Source organism: Homo sapiens, chromosome 7 (genome assembly GCF_000001405.40).
Source record: "Homo sapiens chromosome 7, GRCh38.p14 Primary Assembly".
Lineage (NCBI taxonomy): Eukaryota > Metazoa > Chordata > Mammalia > Primates > Hominidae > Homo > Homo sapiens.
The window spans coordinates 97,767,618-97,779,342 of NC_000007.14; the positions used below are offsets into that span (position 1 = coordinate 97,767,618).

An 11,725-nucleotide genomic window follows, 5' to 3' on the forward strand; every position below is an offset into this window, starting at 1 on the left:
TCCACTGGCAGGCTTAACTTTTGTTTCCCTAGTTATTCCAGTGATTTTATGAGCACAAGTACCTGTACTGATTCTCTGCTTGAATAATACTTGCTCCTGCCCTGAATCTGGACCCATCAATAGGAATCCTTTCATGCAGCTGGTATTATATGGAAATTGGCTAAACACTCTGGAAAATAATTTCGCATTACCTGGTGAAGTGGAACATGTGCATACCATAAAACTCAGGAATCCTACTCCAAAAAATATATCCTAGAGAAAATTTTATATAAATATATTCAGGAAGCATGTATAAAAATGTATATAAAAACACTGTTCATAATGACAAGAAATGGATACAACCCAAAAGAGAGAGTTCCCTATTAAAAAATCGGTAAGGAACCATAAAGTTCAAGAAGTTACAGAAACTAAAAGATAAAAAGCAATTCCACAAGCTTTGTGATAGAAAAGCAAGGACACCTTCCAGGCAGAGGAGGTGGTAGCTGGAGAGCAGAATTAATTAATTAGCAATTAATTATGCTAACTGAAGAACTGTCCACTAAGTGTTGTGGAGAAAAAGAATTTATCCAAAATGTGGTATTCCTAGGTCATTCATATATCAAGGGGAAAAAAAGCCAATTGAAAAATAAAACGAAATTTAAAACTCACAATTGGAAGAGGCATAATGTAAAAAGACTGTTGATGACCACTCAGTTGAGTCTAAATCACCATGCTAACAAGAGTTATAGAACAAAATGTAATTGCTATAGTTCTTTAAAAAACCGCTACATAATGTAAAAATAAGAACAGTTTGAGGATAATGGACTAGATCAAAAATTTTTTTAAATGCCAACACAATGAAGGGAAAAGGCAGGGGTAATAATATAAAGTACCTATTTATGGCTCACGCCTGTAATCCCAGCACTTTGGGAGGCCGAGGCGGGTGGATCATGAGGTCAGGAGATCGAGACCATCCTGGCTAACAAGGTGAAACCCCGTCTCTACTAAAAATACAAAAAATTAGCCGGGCGCAGTGGCGGGCGCCTGTAGTCCCAGCTACTGGGGAGGCTGAGGCAGGAGAATGGCGTGAACCCGGGAGGCGGAGCTTGCAGTGAGCCAAGATTGCGCCACTGCAGTCCGCAGTCCGGCCTGGGCGACAGAGCGAGACTCCGTCTCAAAAAAAAAAAAAAAAAAAAAAAAATACAAAAACTAGCTGGGTGTGGTGGTGCGTGCTTGTAGTCCCAGCTACTCGGGAGGCTGAGGCTGGAGAATCACTGGAACCCAGGAGGCAGAGGTTGCAGTGAGCCGAGATTGCGCCACCGCACTCCAGCCTGGGTGACAGAGGGAGACTCCATCTCAAAAAGAAAAAACAAAAAGTATCTATTTATTATTTGTCTTGAGGGCTGACAGAAAATATAACTTTACTTCAAAAGTTGGCAGATGAGGAAACACAGACTTATAAAGACTTATAAATTTATTTGAAAGATACATAGAAAATTTCGAGGAGAATAAAAAGCATATGCTTTTATCTTCTAACTGGGAAAGGAAGAGAAGGGAAGAGGGTAAAAACGTGAAGAAATCAGAGACTACATATCAAAAGAGAAGGAATAGTAAAACTGGAAATATAAGTAAAGATAGCACATGCAAAGCCAAACACACATAATATAACAATAAATGCAAGTAGGATAAACTTGCCTATAAAAAGTGAAATCGCTGAAACTATATGTTATATATGGAGATTTATCTAAGACAAGGGAAATCAAACAAATTAAAACAATGTAAAAACCTGGCGGGTCAAAAACAATTAAGATTAAAAAAAGAAACACGGTATTATAAAATTAATATCAATATTCAAAGAAAAAAATTAAATGGGACAAGGAGTATATAATCCACAATGAAAATAACTTATGAATATTTACTTTAAAAATCACATGGTGTTGAAATACACAAAGTGGAAACTTCTAAAAGGTAAAGATAAAATTAACTAAAATATAATAGTGGTTTTAAAATATGTGTTCCTAAATCTTAAATAAGTTTGGTAGGAAAAAGGGAATATGAAAAAATCTGCATAATAGAAAGTAAGGTAAAGTAACAGATGTCTTTGGACTCAGCTTGTTGGCAAAAGGAAAACGACGAGCTATTCCAATGCTGGTCAAGGTAGTAAAGAGTCACTTTGAATCAGTATTGGCTCACCATAGCCAACAATACCACCGAAAGAATTAGAGCCTTGCCTTACATCTAACAAAATTCCAGAACATTTCAAAGAGATTCATGATCTAAATATTTTTTAAAACTTATTTTGTAAAAGAATTTCGAATTTTTTAATCCCAGGGTACAAAAAGTCTTCTAAAGGTAGAGATAAATACAAATGGTCCTTGATATACAAATGATTTGTCTTAAATTTTTTTGACTTTACCATGGTGTGAAAGTGACATACATTTAGGATGCCCCTGTACTTATAATGGAGTATCACAACATAGACCCATCGTTAAGTCTAGGAGCATCTATACATAAAGTAAAAAACTGACAGTAAAGTAAAAGACTGTTCACCAGTTCAGCAAAACATTAAAATATTTTATAATATTCTGTTTTAAGGAAGGAATGAGAGAAGGGACGGTTTAATACATTGTTGATAGGAATATAAAGTGATACATTTTGGAAAGTCAGCTTGATGATTTATATTTTAAAATCTTAAAATTTTAGTTTCCTTTGTTTTCATTAGGGTTGCAATTAACACACACTATCTTTGACTAACTTATGTGAAAAATAAATTCGTTGGAAGGATTTTGGATAGTTCACAGACTCAAAGGGAAAGTTGGAAAACCAAGTCCAGGAAAAAAAATGGAACTGGACAAATCATCAGACCATCCTCATGGAATAAAAGAATGAATAAACAAACGAGCCCCCAATATTTTTAATTTCTTATATTATTGCCCTCAAGAACTACTACCAAGAGAAAATAGATAATCTGATTGGCCTAGCTTGACTGGTGAGAGCAGGACAATTTATGTTATAATTCTACCAATTCTACACACAAAGGGGATGATGGCACCCCCGAAGAATTAGAGTGCTTAGTTTTGTTGCCAAACAAGAGAGTGAGTAGATGCTGAATGGTCAAAAAAGACAAATACCCATTACAGCAGTTTACTCAGCAACTCTATGTGTAGTACCTTATCCCAAGAAAATAACTGGACAAAGATACAAATATAACCAGGTGCCGTGGTGTGTGCCAGTAGTCCCAGAGTTACCCAGACAAGGGGAGGGTTCAGCGGGTGACAGTCAGATGACCACAACCAAGGAAGATTTAATTAACAAGGAGATTTTACCATTTGCAACAAGTAAGAAGGACACCAGGGATAATTCCCCAAAGCAATTCCTCCCTGAACAGAGGTGAAAACAGGATTTTTAATAGGCTGGTTAGCTGAGTCATTGTATGTAGCACTGGCACAGTCTCATGAATAGAACGTAGCAAATGAGCTCCTTCCTGGGCGGGGTTTTTAGTACAGTGATGAGGAGCATTTGCAAAAGTTCATCTTAGACTCGGGCCACTCTGGATACAGCTGGAGTTTTTTTTGTTTGTTTGTTTGTTTGTTTTTAACAGAGCCTGAACTTCTTCTTGGAGCTATTTAAAACAACAAGAACTCCCGGTGCAACAGTTACAAGGAAGTAGTTTTTCACAGCGGTACCTGAAAAACCAGGGACTCTGGGTTACATCAGCTACTGGGGAGGCTAAGGCAGGAGGATGTTTGGGCCTAGGAGTTCGAGGCCAGCCTGGGCAACATAGCAAGACCCTGTCTCAAAAAAAAAGGCAAATATTTGCAAATAAGGCATTTATCACAGTGGTTTTTTTTACGGTGAAAACTAAAAATTGTTTAACAATGTAGGATTGGCTCAACAAGTTACATTACAGGCATCTGAAGAAATGATATGCCACCACTTAAAATAATGATTCAAGTCAACATTCACAGACATGGACTGATGTCCTTAATATACAGTGAATAGAGAAAAGCCCTGGGAGGGGAAAGCAGGGAAGGAAAGGCTTTGAGGGACTGAAAGGCGGGAGGAAGGACTAGATAAGAAGGTCAGCCCTTGGCTTAAGAGGAAAGTGGTTGCTGGGAGCATGGCTGAATAAAAGTGGGCTGGGAAAGGTGAACGAGTTTATTCTGAGCTCTGGGTCACAAGCCGCTGGAAACAGGCCAGGGAAAGTGAAAGGTGGAAGAGTGGCAATTTAGTACCGTGGCACAGACAGACCCTGGATGTGCCCAACTTCACAACATTCAAATAAATGTCTTTATTTTTTAAATACGGAAGGAGGCATATCCAGAATTGAACAATGATTTTTCTCTAATTCGGACTGTAGAATTTTTTTGCTTGTCTGCATTATTAATATCTCTATGATGAACCTTAATAAGTTCTGTAGTTTACAAAAGAGAAAAATATCCTCTTAGTCTTCAAATACAACAAGAGGAATAAACAAAACAAAACAAATCCTAAGACTCAGATTGTTGTGTTAATAGGAGTCCCCAATCACAGTGAGGCGGGTATAGAGATTTTACAAGTTAGAATTTCATCCAGGCTTCACAGGAAAACTTGAATCACTGAGTGTGTTTAATCATTACCATCTATTAAGTTGCAGCACAAAACCAGTTTATTGAAGGTCAGGACGCCTGGCTTCAGAAGCAATACAATGACCATCTCATCATTCTTCTTTCTCAGCACTTAGTTGGTGTGTGAAGCATGCCACACATTTTTATGCCCATAGCAACAGGGAAAGAGTCATATGCTGGAAATAAATTGCATATTCCATCTGCCAATGAAGCAGAGACAACATATCCTTATTGGATCAACTGACATGTTTTTATTTTCTTGTTTTGTGCAGTTTGGCTTTGTTTTGTTTTAAATAAAATAATGAAGATGAAACTGCTTGAGATAACAGACCTGTAACATGACACATTTATCTTTCAAACTATTTCTATTCATAAATCTCCCAAGATGGACCAAACCATTTGTACAGGTACTAATGTTTGCTCAGAGTACTGGCCCTATAGGTTTCAATGTCTATCTCATGAGTGTGGCACAGGTGAGTGAACCAGGAAGTAGGGATAGAAAAATAAAACCGTATCTTCAGCAAGCACTGCAGAATTATTTCCAGCAAGTGCACTTCCTCCTCCCCGCTCAATGTTGCAAGCAGAAAATGGAATTACTCTTGTAGCAACAGCTTTCTTTTTATCAGTTATAGGTGAAGTGGCCAGAAGAGAATCATAGAATATTGAGGCTAGAGAAACTAGATACCATCTTACCTAGCTTCTTCATTTATGACCCAGGAAGCTGACATACAGAGAAGTCATGCCACCCCTCAGTGACACTGGAGCAGCAAGGACAAGACCTTCTACTTAGTTTCCAAGATAATTATTTGGTTGTAGTTGTGGGAATATCATTTACTGGATTTCCTTAAACCCAGGAAAATTCAGATTTAGAATTTGATTTCATTTCTACTGCAGCAGAACCAATTACCACCAACTTGGAAGCTGAAAACAATTCTCATTTCTTAGCTCACAATTCTGTAGTTTGGAAGTCCAAGCATGCCATGGAGGGTACTCAGCTCAGGTTTTCTCTAGGCTGCAATCAAGGTCTTGGTCAGCTGCACTTGCACCTGGAGCTCGGGGCTTCTTCCAAGCTCATGTGGTTGTGGCAGAGTTCAGTTCCTTGTGGTTTTAGGACTGAAGTCTGTTTCCTTGCTGGCTGTCACCTGGGAGATGCTCTGAACTCCTAGAGGCTGCCCTTACTCCTAGCCATGTGGTCCACAGCCAACAACGGAGCCAAATCTGTCTCGAATTCAATCTTCTCATGCTTCAAATTTCCCAGACTTCCAATCGCTCTCCAGGAAGAGCCCAGTCTCTTTTAAGGCTCACCTGATTAGCTAGGTCAGGTTTATCCAGAGTAATCGCCCTCTTTTAAGGCCACCTGTGCCATATTGTATTACCTAATCATGGGAGTGATAACCCATCATATTTACAGGTCCCTTCCACACTCGAAGGTTGGAGATCATCTTAGGATTTTGCCTACCACAGAAACCAGGCAATTCAGCAGCTTGCCACAGCACTGGCCCAGCTGTGAGCTCCATTGAGCTGAAACAAAAGACATATCAGGATTCAGCACATTTCTGAGGCTGTGCTATGAAGATTATGGGCATGGAGATTAATGAGCTACAGAAGTTCTTGCTCACTCACCAGATTTTAAACAAAACTTAGAGGCTTACAAAGCCTTATGTAAGGGAGAGATACCAAAACTAAATTTCATAAGATTATTGAAGGAAACAGGATCACTTTATAATTTCTAGTTTGAGATTATATATATCAACTATTCAAAATTATGTTCTTCCTATAAAAGAGCTGATTCTTCCCTTCATCATGAAAATAAAAGAAATGGCAAATGATGGCTTTGCATATTGCAAAGACAATGCTCCATCTATGAGGATCTTAAGCCTCTTTTTTGAACTCAGTAAAAAATGTATTTATTACACAGACCAAAATGTGTCGCCTGCTGCTGGTAGCTGTCCCATCTGTCCATTTCCACAGCTACAACTCTATTTCAGTTATTCTCTGTCTTTCTCCTGGACTCTGCATTGGCCCCTCACCAGGGATTTAGGGTCCCTTTTTTCATTTTTTACTCAACTTGCACTCAGTCACCAAATTTGATTCCTGTTACTCTGCTCCTCAGCCTTATCTGAGCCTGTAAAAATCCCACCTGTTTTTCCCAGTCCAGTAACCTCCAACCTCTTGGAAGTACCTAGCCTCTCCTCTATCTAAAATAACCCTTTGTTCCACTTTCACCTCACTACCTGTTCTTTGTACTGCGGATACACTAGGTAGCAAGTCCCTTGAAAGCAGGAATCTTGTCTTTCTCATTTGCAGAGCTTTCTACAGAATGAGTTCTCTACGATACATTTGTTGATTAAAGGGATACATTTTTCATTCTTCTGTTTTGATACTGACTTATTCTTGTTGAGAATGGGAAAAAAATAAGTTCTGAAATCCACTCATACAAAAGACTTTATTATTGTTGGCCAACTGAGAATTAACTTATCCATACAGTCAAGTGCTTAATCGTCTCTTTGGTAGTAAGTCAGCACTTAGGAAGATGAATTAATATTCTGGTTACTGAGGGGTCATGTAGAATTCTGCAGCAGTAAGTAAAGTACATATGAAATGGTGACACATTTAAGAGAGCACACAAAAGACAGAACAATAATTCATCCAATGACTTGAAAGAGTCCACAAACATGTCTAAACACCAAGTTTACAAGCAAGACTGTAATTGCATTGGTTTACATAGGCACTGAGGGAAATAATATACTGGGCACCCAGAGTAGTAGTAGTATAGTATTGCGATAATCTAAGCAGTAATTGATCATAGTCCTAAGCTCTGCAGGAAATGGCAACTATAGGTATAACTATCTACCAGAGATACATGACTGATATGTCATCTACCTTCCAAGAATCTCCACTGACCCATTCTTAACCCACTTAACCCACTGAAACAAATAATTTTTCATCCTGCCTTTAAAGGCCTTCCATGATTTGGGCCTACCTTACCTGTGTAACTATGTCTCCCTCACTTACCAAGACATGCTCTCAATTCTAGCCATCATTGTCTTCCTGCTATCTTCAAGAATCACCCTCCACATCTTTGCCAATGATCTCTTTTCTTCCTTAGAAAGACTCCTTACTCTCCTCCAAGCCTGTCGATTGCCCATCATCAGGATGTTCGCAAATCCCAGCTCCTTCAGGATCCTTTACTAACAATGCTTGAGAATATCTGGGTATTGCATTTCTGCTTGAAAAACATGTTGGCTGGTATAATATCCTTGAGTTACACCTTACTTCCCTCAGAATAGAGATTTCTCCAGTGCCTCTAAAATTTGCAATATTCAATTGAGAAATCTGATAATCAACTTTTTTTTCTCTTTGTAGATGATTTGATTGTTGTGCCTGGATGCTTAGAGTGTTCTTCATCCTTAAGGTACAACATTACAACTAGAATATGTTCATGTTGAGTGTTATGGATGAAATTTACTTGTAATTCATTAGTATTTTCAATCAGAATTTTTATTCTTTATCGTAGGGATATTTTCTCATATTTTTAATACTTATTTTACTTTCATGTGTTCTCTACTTAAAAGATGTCTGCCATTCTTATGTTGGATCTTTTCTGTCCTCAATACTTATTAGTTTCTCTAATTGTTTTAATCTTTTTGTCTTTTTATTAACTTTATCTGTGATTATTCATTTCTCCTTGTCATTATTTTCAGTATCAGCTATATTAATTCTGTTTCTTGACATTTCTGTACATTTATTAGTTCTGTTATTTTGAGATTTGATCCTCAAATTGTTTCCTTGGGTTTGGAAATTTTCTTTTAATCTCATTTTGTTGTATTAGCATCTTATTTTTGAGCTCTATATCAGATTCAAATTTTTATTAGGTTGTTCTATAGTGTAAAGCAAATGCTCCTTGCTTGATATTTTCTTTTAGAATGAATTGGCTATCTTTTGCATACTTGCTTATTTCCTTTTTTATTTTGCTGTCAAATGTTTGTATAGTTTCCATTCCATTTATTTAGATATTACTCACTTAGTTTGCTGATAATTTTCCTTCTTCTTACCATGCCCAGATCCATTTATACCCTCCTCTGACATGCTCTGTGACCAAGGAGGCTGACTTACATTGATTTCATTACCACAGCAGACTCCTGTGCCCTCTGGCTTTTTATTGGGTTCTGCCAACAGGAAGAATTGGCAGGAGGTTGGAAGATGGAAAGAGGGAAAAGTCTAGGCACTTATCCCCACTCCTTTCCTGCCTTGCCATGGTCTTACGATGACCACATCCCTCTACTGTTGCAGCTTCTGCCTGGTGGCCTCTCTTCCACGGCTCCATCACTGACATGACTCCACTAGCACAATTCTTTCTCCTCTTCTCTTTAGGAAATATCTTTCTGGCTCTGCTAGTCTCCAGTGCTTCTCCATCTCCTATTGGTTTCCTTAACATCATTCAAATTTTGGTAAGTAGTTTCTTCCTTAAATGCTTTTCAGTTAAAACCTTTGAGTTTGCCATCATTTTTGCTAGGACCCTAGCTGATACACTTAGACAGCTTTGGCCAGGCATTGTACGTGCTTTGGTATATTATGAATGGCTTTTTGAATCCTGTCTTAATTTGGGTAATCAGAAGCATATCCTACGGCAAATATTCCATAGCAAGTAATTTATTTGGGAAGTGTAAAAGTCCAGCAGGGAGTAGAGAAATGAGCTAGAAGGGAAGTCACTGAATAAAGGGTGTGTCTATAAGGCTAGCCACTACTGGAGGCAACTGGAGCTTAATTCCTCGGGTAGATTCTGAGAAATAACTCAAAATATGCTCCTCAAAGTTATCCAACCCAAGGAGCAAAGTTGCTCACGTGCTCATACATCAACTGCTATCAGTCATTTGGTCAAGGCCGGCTCTCAGAGGAGCGCTAACTCTCCCCTGCCCCGCCCCGACCCCACAGTCAGGAAGCCTCCTGTAAATTCAGAGGAGGCCTTAAGGAAAAGAGTTAAAGATACTGGCAAAAGGTAGACTGGTAGTGCTCTGAAGGATGTGGGCAAAATACCATAGCTAGAAAAGCTATGATTGTCTGCTATGATTTTTCCCCAAATATGAAACCAGTTTTTCTTTACTCTTAGGGATACAGTCTAAGAGCTGAGTATTTTAAGTCTATCCACTTGTCTGTAATTTGAAGGAATGGCAGTGATTAAATGGTAGGTAGGAAGGAGAAGAATATGACTTAGGCAATGTTCTTTATTTATTGCAATATCCTGGCTCCATTCTCTCTTCTGAGTTTTCATAAGGGCTTTTTACCAGGTTTCACTCCACTTACTTCCATGTGTGAAGGTTGACAGCAGGCAGTGGGATGGGGCTGGGAGGAATTAGAGGTGGGGAAGGAGGATTGCAGAGGTGGCTCCAGCATGTTCCCTGTTCAACATGTGACCTTAGAGCATTGATTTTTATCACCAAGAATCAGTTCCATAGTACACTTTACATATTGCATCTATTTCTTCCCAGATGTTTTCACTACTCACCAGTCAGAGGGAAAAAAACATAAAGATGCCCAGTGATCTTTTTTAGACCTAAACCATTGGTAATATTAAAGGATACTTATTAAAAGAGGGTACAATCAGGACTCACATAGATATAAAATAAATGCATGCCAAAGATTTTATTTAAATCATTAATTAATGAAGGAACCTATAAGGTGTTAAAACCTGTTCACCTGGATAATATCCTGCACAGTGTTTTCCAACTTGGTTCCATTCTCCCCGTCACTTTCAGGTACACCAATCAGATGTAGATTTGGTCTTTTCACATAGTCCCATATATCTTGGAGGCTTTGTTCGTTTCTTTTTATTCTTTTTTCTCTAAACTTCCCTTCTTGCGTCATTTCATTCATTTCATCTTCCATCACTGATACCCTTTCTTCCAGTTGATCGCATCGGCTCCTGAGGCTTCTGCATTCTTCACGTAGTTCTCGAGCCTTGGCTTTCAGCTCCATCAGCTCCTTTAAGCACTTCTCTGTCTTGGTTATTCTAGTTATACATTCGTCTAAATGTTTTTCAAAGTTTTTAACTTCTTTGCCTTTGGTTTGAATTTCCTCCTGCAGCTCGGAGTAGTTTGATCGTCTGAAGCCTCCTTCTCTCAACTCGTCAAAGTCATTCTCCGTCCAGCTTTGTTCCGTTGCTGGTGAGGAACTGCGCTCCTTTGGAGGAGGAGAGGCGCTCTGCTTTTTAGAGTTTCCAGTTTTTCTGCTCTGTTTTTTCCCCATCTTTGTGGTTTTATCTACTTTTGGTCTTTGATGATGGTGATGTACAGATGGGTTTTTGGTGTGGATGTCCTTTCTGTTTGTTAGTTTTCCTTCTAACGACAGGACCCTCAGCTGCAGGTCTGTTGGAGTTTGCTAGAGGTCCACTCCAGAACCTGTTTGCCTGGGTGTCAGCAGCAGTGGCTGTAGAACAGCGGATTTTCGTGAGCCACGAATGCTGCTGTCTGATCGTTCCTCTGGAAGTTTTGTCGCAGAGGAGTACCCAGCTGTGAGAGGTGTCAGTCTGCCCCTACTGGAGGGTGCTTCCCAGTTAGGCTGCTCGGGGGTCAGGGGTCAGGGACCCACTTGAGGAGGCAGTCTGCCCGTTCTCAGATCTCCAGCTGCGTGCTGGGAGAACCACTGCTGTCTGCAAAGCTGTCAGACAGGGACATTTAAGTCTGCAGAGGTTACTGCTGTCTTTTTGTTTGTCTGTGCCCTGCCCCCAGAGGTGGAGCCTACAGAGGCAGGCAGGCTCCTTGAGCTGTGGTAGGCTCCACCCAGTTCGAGCTTCCCGGCTGCTTTGTTTACCTAAGCAGGCCCGGGCAATGGCGGGCACCCTTCCCCAGCCTCGCTGCCGCCTTGCAGTTTGATCTCAGACTGCTGTGCTAGCAATCAGGGAGACTCCGTGGGCATAGGACCCTCCGAGCCAGGTGAGAGACATAATCTCGTGGTGCGCTGTTTTTTAAGCCCGTCAGAAGAGCGCAATATTAGGGTGGGAGTGACCTGATTTTCCAGGTGCGTTCTGTCACCCTTTTCTTTGACTAGGAAAGGGAACTCCCTGACCCCTTGCACTTCCCGAGTGAGGCAATGCCTCGCCCTGCTTCGTCTCACGCACGGTGCGCTGCACCCACTGTCCT

The 11,725-nt window shown here is 39.9% G+C and overlaps 1 annotated feature.

The window, feature by feature from the left end:
- Positions 10,936–11,437: an enhancer, noted in NCBI's record as "H3K4me1 hESC enhancer chr7:97407865-97408366 (GRCh37/hg19 assembly coordinates)". NCBI's record gives its function as "activates a minimal SCP1, AML or CMV promoter by ChIP-STARR-seq in primed H9 embryonic stem cells {active_cell/tissue: H9 hESC(primed)}" and the evidence as "EXISTENCE:reporter gene assay evidence [ECO:0000049][PMID:30033119]".